Raw genomic sequence first — 17,383 nt, forward strand, 5'->3', positions numbered from 1 at the left:
ATATTTTCTCCCATTCTGCAGATTGTCTTTACACTTTGTCAATTGTTTCCTTTGCTGTGAAGAAGGTTTTTGGCTTCGTGTAATTCCATTTTTCTATTTTTGCATTTGTTGCTTATGCTTCTGAGATTTTCTCCATAAAATATTTGCCGAGACCAATGTCCTAAAGTGTTTCTCCAATTTTTTATTCTAGTAGTTTCAGAATTCCACGTCTTAGATTAAATCTTTAATGCATTTTGAGTTGATTTTTTTCTATGGTAAGAGAGAGAGGTCTAGTTTTATTCTTCTGCATATGGACATCCAGTTTTCCCAGCCCTGTTTATTGAAGAAATTGTCCTTTCCCTAATGTATGTTCTTGGTACCTTTCTCAAAAACGAGTTTACTGTAAAGGCATGTATTGATTTCCAGGTTCTCTTCTCTTACATTGGTCAAAGTGTTTGTTTTTATACCAGTACCAAACTGTTTTGGTTACTACAACTTTATAGTATAATCTGAAATCTGATAATGTGATGTCTCCAGGTTTGTTCTTTTTTGCTGAGGATTGCTTTGGCTATTCTGGGTGTTTTCTGGTTTTATACACATTTTAGAATTTTTTTATGTTTCTGTGAAGAATGTTGCTGGCATTTTCATAGGGATTGCATTAAAGCTGTAGATTTCTTTGGTAACACAGTCATTTTCAGAATATTAATTATTTTAGTCCATAAACATGATACGTATTTCCATTTTTGTGTCCTTTCAAATTTTTATCAGTATTTTACAGTTTCCCTTATAGAAATTGTTCACCTTCTAGGTTAAATTTATTCTCAGGAATTTTTTTGTAGCACTTGTAAATAGGATTGCTTTTTTTATTTCTCTTATCCATTAATTCTTTGTTGTATAGAAGCACTACTGATTTTTTATGTTGATTTTGTATCTTGAAACTTTAATGAATTTGTTTATCAATAGTAAATATTTTTAGTAGAGTTTTCTCTACATGTATATGATTGTATCATCTGCAGAGATGACTTATTCAGCCAATCATAGAAAGATAAATATTACATTTTCTCACTCAAATGTGGAAGCTAAAAATGTTGACAGATATCATAGAAGTAGAGAGTAAAATAGTGATTAATAAAGGCTAGGAAGGGCAGGGGGAAGAGGGAAAGGGTCAAAGTTGGTTAATGGAAACAAAAGCACAGCTACATAGGAGAAATAAATTCCATTATTCTATAGCACTATAGCATGAATACAATAAACAATGATTTATTTTGTATTTTTAAATGCTAGAAGAGTGAATTTTGAATGTTCTCAGCACCAAGAAATGATAAATGTTTGAGGTGATGGATATGCTAGTATCCCTGATTTGATCATTACACATTGTATTGATGTATTGAAATATCACATTGCACCACATAAATATGTACAGTTATTATCTGTCAATTAAAAGAATAATAAGAATTGACACTAATTTTTACAACTAGAACTTGATAGAATTTTTATAAAAATTGTGTTCAATCTGTAGATCATTTTGGGAAGTACTGCCATTTTAACAATATCATGTTCTCATTTATGAGTGAAAGACATTGCACTATTTATGTAGATACTTTCAATAATGTTTTGTATTTTTCAGTATATAGGTTTTTTCTTTTGTTACATTTATACCTAAGTAATTAGTTATTCCTTCTGTTAAAAATTTTCTTTTAATTTTATGTTCAGATTGTTAAACCAACTTTGTATTCCAGGAATAAATCCCTCTTGATCATGGTATATGATATGGTTTGGCTGTGTCCTCACCCAGATCTTATCTTCAATTGTAACTCCCACAATTCCCACATGTCATGGGAGGGACCCAGTGGGAGGTAACTGAATCATGGGGGCAGGTCTTTCTCATGCTGTTCTCACAATAGTGATTAAGTTGCATGAGATCTTATGGTTTTATAAAGAGAAGTTCCCCTTCATAAGCCCTCTCTCTTTGCCTGCCACCATCCATGTAAGATGTGACTTGCTTCTCCTTGCCTTCCACCATGATTGTGAGGCCTCCCCATCCATGTGGAACTGTAAGCCTAATAAACCTCTTTTTCTTCCCAATCTCAGGTATGTCTTTAACAGCAGTGTGAAAATGAACTAATACAGTAAATTGGTACCAGTAGAGTGAGGCACTGCTTAAAAGATACTTGAAAATGTGGAAGTGACTTTGGAACTGGGTAACAGGCAGAGGTTTGAACAGTTTGGAGGGCTCAGAAGACAGGAAAATGTGGGAAAGTTTGGAACTCCCTACAGACTTGTTGAATGGCTTTCCTCAAAATGATGATAGCAATATGGACAATAAAGTCTGTGTTGAGATGTCTCAGATAGAGATTGAGAACTTGTTGGGAACTGGAGTAAAGATGACTCTTGTTATGTTTTAGCAAAGAGACTGGTAGCATTTTGCCCCTGCCCTAGAGATCTGTGGAACTTTTAACTTGAGAGAGATGATTTAGGGTATCTGGAGAATAAAACTTCTAAGCAGCAAAGCATTTAAGAGGCAAGTTGGGTGCTGTTAAAGGCATTCAGTTTTATAAGGGAAGCAGATCACAAAAGTTTGGAAACTTTGCAGCCTGGCAATGCAATAGAAAAGAAAATCTCATTTTCTGAGGTGAAATTAAAGCTGGCTGCAGAAATTTACATGTTACAAGGAGCCGAATATTAATCCCCAAAACAATGGGGAAAATGCCTCCAGGACATTTCAGAGGTCTTCACAGCAGGTGCTCCCATCACAGGCCTGGAGGCCCAGGAGGAAAAAGTGGTTTCATGGTCCGGGCCTAGGGTCCCCATGCTGTGTGCAGCCTATGGACTTGGTACCCTATGTCCCAGCTGCTCCAGCCATGGCTGAAAGGAGCCAACATACAGCTTGGGCTGTGGCTTCAGAGGGTAGAAGCCCAAACCTTGCCAGATTCCATGTTTTGTTGAGCCTGCAGGTGTGCAGAAGTCAAGAATTGAGGTTTGGGAACCTCTGTCTAGATTTCAAATGCTGTATGGAAATGCCTGGATACCCAGGCAGTTTGCTGCAGGGGCGGGGCCCTCATGGAGAACCTCTGCTAGGGTAGTGCAGAAGGGAGATGTGGGGTTGAAGTCCCCACACAGAGTCCCTACTGGGGCACCACCTAGTGGGTTGTGAGAAGAGGGCCACAGTCCTCCAGACCCCAGAATGGTAGATTCACCAACAGCCTGCATCATCCACCTGGAAAAGCCATGGACACTCAACGCCAGTCCATGAAAGCAGCTGGAGGGAGGCTGTACCTTGCAAAGCCACAGGATCAGAGCTGCCCAAGACCATGGGAACCCACCTCTTGCATCAGCATGACCCAGATGTGAGACAGGAGTCAAAGGAGATCATTTGGGAACTTTAAGATTTGACTGCCTTGCTGGATTTTGGACTTGTAATGGGTCCATAGCCCCTCTGTTTTGGCCAATTTCTCCCATTTGGAACTGCTGTATTTACCCAATGCCTATACCACCCTGTATCTAGGAAGTAACTAGCTTGCTTTTGATTTTACAAGCTTGTAGGAGGAAGGGACTTGCCTTGTCTCAGATGAGACTTTGCACTGTGGACTTTTGAGTTAATGCTGAAATGAGTGAAGACTTTGGGGGCCTGTTGGGAAGGCATGATTGGTTTTGAAATGTAAGGATATGAGATTTGGGAGGGGCCAGGGGCAAAATGATATGGTTTGGTTCTGTGTCCCCACCCAAATGTCATCTTGAATGGTAACTCTCACAATTCCCATGTGTCATGGGAGGGACCCAGTGGGAGGTAACTGAATCATGAGGGCAGGTCTTTCTCATGCTGTTCTCGTGATAGTGAATAAGTCTCATGGGATCTGATGGTTTTATTAAAAAAAGTTGCCCTGTACAAGTTCTCTCTCTTTGCCTACCACCATCCATTTAAGATGTGACTTGCTCCTCTTTGCCTTCTGCCGTGATTGTGAAGCCTCCCCATTCATATAGAATTGTAAGTCTATTAAACCTCTTTTTCTTCCCAGTCTCAGGTATGTCTTTATCAGCAGTGTGAAAATTGGATAATACAGTGTATAATCTTTTTCTATGCTGTTGCATTGATTTAATAATATTTAGTTAAGAATTATAGTGTCTATGTTCATGAAGGATATTGGTTTCTTCTCTATTTATCTTTAGCTCTGCTATCACAATATTTTAGTTTGCTACTGTTGCCGTAACAAGTGACTACAAACTTGTGACTTGATACAACACAAATTTATTATCCCAGTTCCATGCATCAAAGGAGCAGTTAGCTAAATCCTCTGTTGAGATCTCACAAGCTGAAATCAAGATGTCTGCTGATGCCGAGGTTCTCATTTGAAACCTGGGTCCACTTCTCAGCTCTCAGGTTATTGGTAGACTTTACTTCCTTGCTGTTATACTACTAGGCTCCCCATTTTCTTGCTGGCTTTTAGCTGAGGGTAACTTTGAACATCTAAATGGATGTTTCTTTTCATCTGCAGTTAACAACATAGTGGTTTACATTCTTCCTCAAGGCCAATAGAAGCCATCTCTTGAATTCTTATGGTAGGAGTTGCAGATATTGTTATTTTCAAAAAGTTTGTGTGATTAGATTCAGCCTACCTGGATTTTTTTCTTTTTGTCTTTCTTTTGACAAGTAAACATTTTAAATTTTCATGATGTCAAATTTATGATTTTTAATAGATATTGCTTTTAGAATCATAGATTTAAAATATTTCCCTAATTCAATGTCACAAAGATTTTCTTCTATGATTTCTTTTGGGAGTTTTCTGAGTATTTTAAGGTTAACTGATTTGGACCATAAATTACATCTGTAAAATCCCTTTGTAGAAATACCTAAATTATAAATGGAACTAACAAATTAGTGAATTTGTGGGGAGGGACTATCTTTAGAATATGGTTTATCACACAGAGTAAGAATGGTTTCATAGCATGATTTAGAAAGTATTCCTACTCCTATATTTTCTAAAACATTTTATGTAAGCTTGGCATTATTTTTTCTTTAAATATTTGATACAATATGCTAGTGAAGTCATCTGGGCTGGGATTTTCTTTTTGGCAAATGTAAAAATTACCAGTTCTAGTGCGGAAGTAGAGCAAGATGGCTGAATAGAATCCTCCAGCGATTGTCCCCCATCCACAGGCACACCAAATTAACCAACCATACATGCAAGAAAGCACCTTCATAAGAACCAAAAAGTCCAATGAGTAATCACAGTACCTGATTTGAACATCATATCAAGAAAGAAGGCACTGAAGAGAGTGGGAAAGACAGTCTTGCATTGGCTACCACCACTCCCTTAATTCCAGGTAGCACTGTATAGAGACAGAATCTGTGTGCCTTGGGGAGAGAAATAAATGTGAATATGGGATTCTGAATTAGAATTCAGTGCTGTCCTTTCACAGCAGAACACAACATAGGGAAGAATTCTGCTGACATGCACAGAGAGAGCATTTAGATAAAGCCCTGGGTCAGAGGAAAATTCCTTGCCCCAGTGGGAGGAACCTGAGTCCCAGCTGGCTTCACTACTGGCTAAGTTGCCTGAGGCCCAGAATACATTTGAGTGGCAGTCAGACCATAGTAAATGCAGTCCTTAGGCAAGCCCTGGTATTGTGCAGGACTCAAAAGCAGTGCACTTGGGGTGCACACAACCCAGTGCAACATCAGCTATGGTGACCAAAAAAGTGCCGATGTCACACTTCTCCCAATTCCAAGCAGTGCAACTCCAGGAGAGACTCCTGCTTGGGGGAAGGAGAGGGAAGTGTACAGAACACTTTGTTCTTCAACTTGGATATCAGCTCAGCCACAGTAAAAAAAAAGCACCTATCAGAATCCTGAAGTTCCAATTTGTAGGCTTTTGCTCCTAGGGATGGCATTTCTAGACCCAACCTAGGCTAGATGGGAATTTGTAGCCCTAATGGGACAGATCCAGTTGTGGCAGAATTTGCCACCTACTGATTAAAGGACTCTTGGGCCTTGAATAAATGTCACTGGCAGCCTGGCAGTACTGGCTACAGATCTTGGGTAATCCATAGGATTATGCTGGTCTGTAAGACTTCGAGAGCAACCTTGTACAGTGTCAGCTGTGGTGGCTACATGAGTGCTCACATAACATGTACTCAAACTTCAAGAAGCCTAGCATGGAGAGAAACTCCTTTTCATTGGAAAAAAGAGGGAAGAGAGCAAGAGACTTTGCCTGATTGCCCAGAAAATTTTCCTTTATCTTACCCAAGTCTACCAAGGGTATGTATCTAGGAGTCTGAAAGATTCACAGCATTCCTTTTTCTAGTCTTAAACAGTGGCAGTGGTGGTATGCTTAGGTCACGAAATTCCATCCTCTTTGAATTCACGGAAAGGCCTCTCAAGAAGTACAGGTACCAACAAGGCCAGACTGCAAAGACTGTAATAAATGCTTAACCCTTTAATGCCTAGACATTGACAAACATCTACCAGCACCAAGAACACCCAGGAAAACATGAAATCAGTCAAAATAAGGAACTGGTGACCAATCCTGGAGTGACAGAGATATGTGGCCTTTCAGACAGGAAATTCAAAATAGCTATCTTAAGGAAACTGAATGAATTGCAAGGTAACATGGAAAAGGAATTTGAAATTCTACCAGAGAAATTCAACAAAGAAATATAAATAATAACTGGTCACTACCATTCAACAAGTCTCCAGGAAGTTTCAAACTTTCCATTTTCTTTGTCTTTTTATGAGCCCTCAAAACTGTTCCAACCTCTGCCTGTTACCCAGTTTCAAAGTCACTTCCACATTTTCAGGTATTTTTACAGCAATGCCTCACTTTTCTGGTACCAATTTTCTGTATTAGCCCATTCTTATATTGCCACAAAGAACTACCTGAGACTGGGTATTTTATAAAGAGATTTAATTAGCACAGGTTCTGCAGGCTGTATAGGAAGCATGACTAAGGAGGGCTCAGAAAACTTACAATCATGGCAGAAGGCAAAGGGGAAGCAAGAACATCTTACATGGTAGGAGCAGGAGGAAGAGAGAATGAAGGGGGAAGTGCTATACACTTTTAAACAACCAGATCTTGTGAGAACTCTATCATGACAAAGCGGTAGAAGGATGGTACTAAACATTAGTATCCAACTCCATCATTCAATCACTTCCTACCAGGCCCCACCTCAACACTTGGTATCACATTCACCACGAGATTTTCATTTGGACACAGAGTCAAACCTTATCACCCACATGCACCACTTTTTTCAACATAGTACTGGAAGTCCTAGCTAGAGAAATTACACCAGAGAAAGAAATAAAGAGCATCCAAATTGGAAGAAGTCAACTTATTCATGTACACAGACAATATAATCTTCTATTTAAAAAATCCTGAAGGCTCTACCAAAAAAAATTTTATAGAACTAATGAACAAATTCAGTAAAGTTTCAAGACACACAGTCAACTTATAAAACTCAATAGCATTTCTGTAGAAAGCAGTGAATACTCTGAAAAGGAAAACAAGAAAGCAATCTCATATACAACAGCTGCAAATAAAATAAAATACTTAGGAATAAACTTAAACAAAGGAGTAAAAGATATCTACAATGAAAACCATAACACATTAATAAAAGAAACTGAAGAGGATTCAAGAAAATGAATATTCCATGTTCATAGATTGAAAGAATTAATATTGTTAAAATGTCTATTCTACACAAGCAATCTACAAATTTGATGTGATTTCTATCAAAATGCCAATGACATTCTTCACAGAAACAGGAAAAAATCCTAAAATGTATATGGAACTGAAAAACACCCAGAATAGCCAAAGCAATCCTGAACAAAAAAGAAGAAAGCAAGACACATTACATTGCTTGATTTCAAATTATAGTATAAAGCTATAGTAACTAAAAAAGTATGCTATTGGCATAAAAACTGACATATAGATTTTTTTTTCCTCCAACATGACAGATGGGAGGCACTGTTAGGGTGCCTCTCCCACTTGGAAGGACAGAATAGTGTATATAGATTCACACTGTGAACCTTGTTCCAAGAAAAAAATGCAGAAACTTGACAGGAACCAAAAGAATCCAGACCCTTTCAAAGAAGTGACAGGCAGCAGACTATTCTGTGAGACAGGTGATAAATTGTTAAGTCCCTAGAGTGTGAGAGAGAAAGAGACTGCCTCCAGGATACACATCCCTGCCAGATAATCTAAAACTTCAGGCCACAAGAGAAGGCTTTAATTCTACCCAGAGCTGGAACTGACTTAGGGAGTGGCATGAAATATAAAAGCAGAAGAAATGGCAGGAAGTGTCTTCTAGGCATTGTAAATTTCTAGCATGGACTGATGGAAGCTATTTCTAATTATACCTGAAAGGGGACACGAGGGAAGTCAGTCAACTAGCTCAGAAAGGCGTTGCAAGGTGACAGTTCCCAACCGAATTTTGTGAAATAATCTCGAGTGGGAATGATGTTACTTGACCAGGACCCAGGAGGTGAGCAGGAAGTATACTGCAGACACATACACAGGAGCTGGGTGCCCAACCTTGTGGGCAGACAGGGAGGGGATGTGACCTAAAAGCTGCAGTTGCTATCTCTGTGGGGAAGCTAATGGCCTGTGGCAGGTCTGAGTTCTGTGTGCAGGTTGCCTGGATCTTAACCCAGTGATGTAAGTGGAGCACTGCAGGAGAGAGATCTGCCTTGCCAACCACCTGACAGCTGGGTAATACTTACTGCCACCTACTACTTCCCACTCCCTTTGTGAACTCTTCTGTTCAACAGAGGCAGTTATACATCCCTCTGGAACATGACCCCAATTACCTGAGAACCACCCATCACCCTCACAATGGCTGCAGCTTGCCCCTCTCATGGAAAGTCAGAGTGCAGACCCAACTAACACTGCCCCCACCTGGTTGTGCCCCTCCACCCTCCCTGGTAGTTTAACACAAAGGGCATAAACTTTTGGGAGCTTTATAGCCCCAGTAATCATCTGAGAAAACAGAATACTTCCATTGGGCAAAGTGGGGCAAACTCAAATCCCACTACTACTGCTGCTGCTGGTGCTCTTTTACAAGTGTCATGTCCTGGCTGGAGGCCAACTAACACAGTCTATTACACAATCTCTAGTTACAATAAAATGGCACCTAGAAAGGAGAAAAGGCAGGCTATCACCACTAGCTGCAATACCCTGACTAACCAGAGATCCTGAGTCTATCCACATGACAAGTTTGCTACTATCATAACCAGCACTTGGGAAAGCCAGCACGCTAAGCCTATCTACCACCAAGGAATCTCACAGAGACTGTCACTCCCCTGGCACCCCCATAAGACCTTGTGCAGGTACCCATTGCTGGGAAACATGAAGACAGGTCACATCAATGGATCTCTTACAGACATTCCCCAGCACCAGCCCAGACTATGGCAGCCCCATTGGAGGGCTAGACCTAGAAGAGGAATAACAACCACTGTAGGCTGGCTCTCAGAAACTCTTACTCCTAGGGGAAGTGGGAGAGCACCATATCAAGGGAACACCCTCATGGGACAAAAGAATCCAGATGGAAGGCCTTGAGTCCCAGATCTTTCTGCTGGTGGGAAGTTTCTTTCAGCAAAGACACAATTAGTGTTGGATACAGCAGGAAAAGTCTGCACCTCTACTCCAACAGTCAGGCCAATTTCATGCACATAATGGGTCTTTGAGAATGGGTTCTTATTCACCCTTTATCTACCACTGCAGACACAGCTGGGGATACTCCCACTGAAACTCAGCATGGATGTAACTATAGGCAGCTGTTCTGGAACAATTCAGGGTGATTGCATCCCCAGAGGAGGAGTACTCCCAAGTTCAGGATTGCACAAGAGACAGAGTCACAATTTCTCCCTACTAGGAACATCAAAATTTCTACAGATAAAAATAGGTGCCTGTTTGATCTGAATAGCTGGAACACTGGAACAGGAGTGAGGATGGGAGGTGCATAGGATTCCTGCTGGCACTTAGCAGAACCACTGATAAGGGTCCAACAAAGATCATAGGGCAAAGGGCAAAAGCAGAACCACTGATAAGGGTCTATGTTCAGCGGTGCACATATTGTCTTGATAAACATCTTAAACAACAGAAAACAGGGTTCAAGAGCAGAGAACCGGTCTGACCACAGATTCACCAGGGTGGGGTTTTCCCAACCCTAGTAAGCCTGAGGGTTCTGCAGGAGACCAGGGCTTATCTCTGTCCTTATCTCAAATGCACAAGACAGACATTCCCAGAGTGGCTGTTTATAGACCTCCCCCCAGGAATGCATTCCTTTCCCAGGGTATTAATATTAATATTCCTTGCTAGGAAAAGAATTTAGCGATATCTTGCCTACTTGCAAGTCCATTTATAGGCTCTCTGCAAGAAGAAAAATATGGCTCTTTTTGCCTGACCCTGCAGGGAGTCAGACCTTATGGTTGTCTTCCCTTGTTCCATAAAAATCGCTGTTATTCTGTTCTTTTCCAAGGTGCACTGATTTCATATTGTTCAAACACATGTTTTACAATTAATTTGTACAGCTAACACAATTATCACAGCAGTCCTGAAGTGATGTACATTCTCAGCTTACGAAGATAACAGGATTAAGAGATTAAAGTAAAGACAGGCATAAGAAATTATAAAAGTATTATTTGGGAACTGATAAATGTCCATATTAAGATGAAATCTTCACAATTTATGTTCCTCTGCTGCGGCTCCAGCCAGTCCCTCCGTTTGGAGTCCCTGACTTCCCATAACATTCACCCTGGTAAAACCTCATTGCATCTAATTGAGAGCTCCCCCAGCCACTTCCATCAAGGCTGGGACCTCTTCCCACCATTGGGTATTGCATCTACTTACCTGCTTTATCTACAACAAGTTTCTCCCCAGGAATACCTCCACTGGCCCGAAGCCTGAACCATTAATGCAGTAAATACAATACCAGGGAAAAATTAAATAAATGCAAAAGTGTACACCACAGGGGAATGAAATAAACTTCAAGAGATTCTTGTCATTCCTACCCTATATGAGACAGTGATCTTTCCCACACTCCGAATACATAACTACTACAAGCAGCATTTCAGAAAGCCAGTACACAAAGACTATTTATAACCAAGGAGCTCATACAGCATCTTTACCCCTAAATGCACCAAGAACCAAATTAGTCTATAATAAACTATAAACATTAAAATCACATGCTTAAGAGGGAAAAAAAGAAATTTAAAAAACCATAGTCAAATAAAAAATCAATTCAAGAACAATTTGAAGAAAGTCTACACAGATGAGAAGAAACAAGAAAAGTAATTCTGGTAATATGACAAAATAGGGTTCTATAACAACGCAGAAGGTTACACTACCTCTGTAGCAATTGGTCCAAACTAAGATGAAATATTTGAAATACCAGAAAATGAATTCAGAAAGCTGATTATTAAGCTACTGAAGGAAATACTAGAGACAGGTGAAAACAAACATAAAGAAATTTAAAAAACAATGCAGGATATAAATGAAACAATTTTCAGAGAGGCGAACAGCATAAAGAAAACCAAATAGAACTTCTGGAAATGAAAGATGTGCATAGGAAAATACAAAATGCAGTAGAAAGTTTCAATAATAGACTACAACAAGTAGAAGATGAATTTTAGAGCTCAAAGACAAGGCTTTTGAATTAACCAAATCAGACAAAGATAAGGAAAAAAGAATCAAAAGAAATGAACAAAGTCTACAAGAAATATGGGATTATGTAAAATGTCCAAACCTAAGAATAATTGGTGTTCCTGAGAGATAAGAAAATGCTAAATGTTTGAAAACTGATATCTGAAAAATTTATAACAAAAAAAATTACCACCAAAGCACATAGTTAGCATGCTATCTAAAGTTGACACAAAAGAAAGAATTATAAAAGATGTGAGACAAAAGCATTAGGTAACCTATAAAGAAAAACCTATCAGACTAACAGCGGACTTCTCAGAAGAATCCTTACAAGCTAGAATGACTTGGGGAACTATCTGTAGCCTCCTTAAACAGAATAATTGTCAGCCAAGAATTTTGTATTCAGCAAAACTAAGCTTTATAAATGAAAGAGAGAGAGTATTTTTCAGACAAACAAATGACGAGGGAATTTGTCACTATCAAACCAGCACTACAAAAAATGCTAAAAAAGAGTTCTAAATCTTAAAACAAAAGCTTGATATTCACCAGAAAAAAAAAAATCCTTCTGGAAGCATAAAACTCATAGGGCCTATAAAACAACAATACAATTATAAAACCATATAATGTAGGTAACAACTTACTTGGTGACAAATACTGTAGATCCCAGATTTATAACACAATTACTACTAGACCTAAGATCTGAGATAGCAACACAATAATAGTGGGAGAACTTCAATACTCCACTGACAGCACTAGATAGATCATTAAGATAGAAATTCAACAGAGGAACAGTGGACTTAAGCTATACTTTAAAACAAATGGACTTAACAGATATTTACAGAACATTATTTCCAACAACTGCAGAATATACATTCTCCTCACCTGCACATGGAACATTTTCCAAGATAGGCTGTATTATCATATGGCCATAAAACAAGTCTCAATAAATTTAAAAAATTGAAATTATATCAAGTATATTCTTAGACAATAGTGAAATAAAACTGGACATCAACTCCAAAAGTAACCCTCAAAACTATAGAATTACAAGGAAATTATATAATCTGCTCTTGAATGATTTTTTAGTTAACAATGAAATCAAGATGGAAATTTGAAAATTCTTTGAAGTGAATGATAATAGTGACACAACTTATTAAAACCTCTGGGATACAGCAAAAGCAGTGTTAAGAGAAAAGCTCATAATGTTAAATGTCTACATTAAAAAATCTGAAAGAGCACAAGTGGCAACCTGATGTCACACCTAAGGAACTAGAGAAACAGGATCAAACTAATCCCAAAGCCAGCAGAAGAAAGGAAATAATAAAAGTCAGAGCAGAACTAAATGAAATTGAAACAAAAAAATACAAAAGGTGAATGAAGCAAAAAGCTGGTTCTTTGAAAAGATAAACAAAATTGATACACCATTAACAAGATTAACCAAAAAAAGAAGAGAGAAGATCCAAAAATAAAACTGGAGATATTTCAACTGATACCACAGAAATGTAAATGATCATTCAAGATTTCTATGAACATCTTTACATGCACAAACTAGAAAATCTAGAGAAAAAAGATAAAATAATAAATTCCTGGAAGCATATAACACTCTAGATTAGATCAGGAAGCAGTAAAAACCCTAAGCAGACCAACAACAAGCAGCAAGACTGAAATCAGTAATTAAAAAAAAATTGCCAACACAAAAGTTCAATACCAGATGGATTCATAGGTGAATTCTACAAGATATCCAAAAAAGAATTGGTACAAATCCTACTGAAACTATTCCAAAAGATAAAGAGGAATTTCTCCCTAAATCATTCTATGAAGTGAATATCACCCTAATACCAAAACCAGGAAAGGACATAACAAAAAAAAGAAAAAAGAAAACTACAGACCAACATCCCTTATAAACCTAGATAGAAAAATCCTCAACAAAATACTAGGTAACTGAATCCAACAGCACATCAAAAAGATAATATATAGTGATCAAGTGGGTTTCATCCCATGATGCAGGGATGGTTTAACATACACAAGTCAATAAATATGATAGATCACATAAGCAGAATTAAAAACAAAAACCAGATGATCATCTCAATAGATGCAGAAAAAGCATTTAATAAAATTCAGCAGCACTTTAGGATAAAAACACTCAACAAACTAGGCATAGAAGGGACTTACCTCAAGATAATAAAAGCCATGTATGACAAACCCACAGCCAACATGATACTAAATTGGGAAAAGTTGAAACATTCCCCCTGAGAACTAGAGCAAGATAAAAATGTCCATTCTACCACTGCTATTCAACATAGTACTGAAAGTCCTGGCCAGAGCAATTAGGCAAGAGAAAGAAATGAAGGGCATCCACATTGTAAAGGAGGAAGTCAGACTGTTGCTATTAACCAGTGATATGTTTGCATATCTAGAAAACCCTAAAGACTCATCCAAAAAGGTCCTATATCTGATAAACAAATTCAGTAAAGTCCCAGGTTACAAAATCAGCAACACAAATTATTGCAATGCGATACACCAACAACAAACTGAGAATCAAATCAAGAACTCAATCACTTTTACAACAGTTGCAAAAATAATAAAATACCTAGGAATATACTTAACCAAGGAGGTAAAAGTTCTCTTTAAAGCAGGCAAGCCATGTAGAAGAATGAAACTAGATGCCCATCTCACTCAAGATAGATAAGAGACTTAAATCTAAGACCTGAAACCATAAAAATCCTTGAGGATAACATTGGAAAAATACTTCTAGACAGTGGCCTAGGCAAATAATTCATGACTAAGACCCCAAAAGCAAATGTAAAAATAAATAAATAAATAGGACCTAATTAAATTATAAAGCTTCTGCACAGCAAAAGAAACAATCAGCAGAGTAAACAGAAAACCTAAAGCATGGGAGAAAATATTTACAAACCATGCATCTGACAAAGAATTTAGTATCCAGAATTTACAAGAAACTCAGACAAATTAACAAAAGAAAAACAAATAATCCCATCAAAAAGAAGACAAAGGACATGAATAGAAATTTTTGAAAAGAAGATATACAAACAGCCAACAAACATGAAAAAATGCTCAACATCGCTAATCATCAAGGAAATGCAAATTAAAACTACTCTTGCCAGAATGGCCATAATTTAAAAGTTAAAAAACAATAGATGTTGTCGTGGATGTGGTGAAAAGGGTACATTTTTACACTGCTGGTGGGAATGTAAATTAGCACAACCACTATGGAAAACAGTATGCAGGTTCCTTAAAGAACTAAAGGTAGATCTATCATTTGAACCAGCAGTCCCACTACTGAATATCTACCCAAAGGAAAATAAATCATTATATGAGAAAGACACACATACAGCATGATTATAGGAGCACAATTTGTAATTGCAAAACTATGGAACCAACCTAAGTGCCCACTGACTGAAGAGTGAATAAAGAAAATGCAGTATATATACACCATGGAATACTGGTCAGTCATAAAAAGGAATTAAATAATGTCTTTTGCAACAACTTGAATGGAGCTAGAGGTTATTATTCTAAGTGAAGTAACTTAGTAATGGAAAACCAAATACTATATGTTCTCACTTATAAGTGGGAGTTAAGCAATGAGGATGCAAAGACATATGGAGTGAGGTAATGAACTTTGGTGACTTAGTGGGGAAGGTTGGGAAGGGGATGAAGGATAAAATACTATACATATTAGGTACAGTGTACACTGCTCGAGTGATGGGTGCATGAATATCTCACAATTCACCATTAGAGAACTCACCCATGTGACCAAAAATCATCTGTATCCCTAAAACTATTGAAATTAAAAAACAATAATTAAAAACAGACAGACCAATGGAAGAGAATAGAGAACCCAGAAATAAATCAATGCATTTCCAATGAACTCATTTTTAACACAGGTGCCAAGACCATACATTGGGGAAAGAAAAGTCTCTTCAATAAATAGTGCTGGGAGAACTGGATATCCATATATAGAAGAATGAAACTAGACTCCCCTTACCATATAGCAAAATCAACTTGAAATGGATTAAAGACTTTAATCATAGACCTGAAACTATGAAACTACTAGAGAAAACATTCAGGAAACACTTCAGGACATTGGTCTGAGCATTTCTTGAATAAGTCATCAAAAACACAGACAACCAAAGCTAAAATGGACAAATGAGATTATACCAAGCCAAAAAGCTTATCCACAGCCAAAGAAACATCAATAGAATGAACAGGTAACCCACAGAGTGGTAGAAAATATTTGCAAACTACCATTTGACAAGTTATTGAAAGCCAGAATTAAAAAGGAGTTCAATCAATTCAATAGAAAAAAATAACATGATTTTAAAAATGGACAAAATATCTGAAAAGATGTTTCTCAAAACTAAATATACAAATGACCAACAGGTATATGAAAAAATGCTGAACATCACTAATCATCAGAAAAATGAAAATAAAATCTACAATGAACTATCATCTCACACCAGTTAAACTGGCTTTTATACAAAAGACAGGCAACAAATGCTGGTTAGTATGTGGTCTCATACATTGTTTTGGGGAATATAAATTAATACAGCCCCTATGGAGAACCATGTGAAAGTTTCTCAAAAAACTAAAAATAGAACTACCTGATAATCCAGAAATCCCATTACTGGGTACTTACTCAAAAGAAAGACAATCAGTACATCAAAGAGATATCTGCACTTCCATGTTTATCGCAGCATGATTCACAATAGCCAAGATATAAAATCAACTTAAGTTCCCATCAATGGATGAATGCAATAAAAAATATAGTTCATATAAAGCATGGAATATTATTCAGCCACAAAAAAGAACAAAATCCCTTCAATTGTAGCAACATGGATGGGACTGGAGGACATCAAATGAACTAAGCAAGGCACAGAAAGGCAAACATTGCATGTTCTTACTAATATGTGAGAGGTTATATATATATATATATTTGCTCTTGAATGATTTTGGGGTTAACAATGAAATCAGGATGGAAATTTGAAAATTCTTTGAAGTGAATGATAATAGTGACACAACTTATTAAAATCTCTGGGATACAGCAAAATCAATGTTAAGAGAAAAGTTCATAGTGTTAAGCATCTACATCAAAAAATTTGAAAGAGCACAAATGACAACCTAATGTCACACCTCAAGGAACAGAACTTTCTCAAAACATTCCCATTTCTCAAAACACTTACATTGCCAAAAATGATGGTTTTCAGAGGTTGGAAAAGGGTGTGAGGAGAGAAGACTAAAAGAGGGTTGTTAATGGAGCAAAACACAGTTAGAATAAATAAGATCGAGTTTTCGGTAGCACCATGGGGCAACTATAGCTAATAATTTATTATATATTTCAAAATACCTAAAAGAGTGAAAATGGAATGTTCGTAACACACAAAAAAGTGATAAGTGCTTGAGGTCATGGATACCCCAATTACCCTGATTTAATTATTACACATTGTATGCTTGTATCAAAATATCACATGTGCCCCCAAAATATGTAAAATTATGTACCCATAATAATTAAAAATCAGTAAAATAAGATAAAATAGAATTACCACCTTTATGTCTTTACTTGTTATAGGCCTGTTTAAATTTCCTAAAATTAGTTTTGAAAGTTAATGTCTTTTTCAAAAATTTTATCTAAGTTGTCTAATTTGTTGCCAAAACTTTGTTCATAATATTCCCTTCTTAATTTCTTTAATATTGGCAGTGATATCCTCTATTTACTGGTTTTGGAAATCTTTGTCCTATTTATTTTTATCAATTTTTTT

The sequence above is a fragment of the Homo sapiens genome, chromosome 13, assembly GCF_000001405.40.
Source record: "Homo sapiens chromosome 13, GRCh38.p14 Primary Assembly".
NCBI classification, from domain to species: Eukaryota; Metazoa; Chordata; class Mammalia; order Primates; family Hominidae; genus Homo; species Homo sapiens.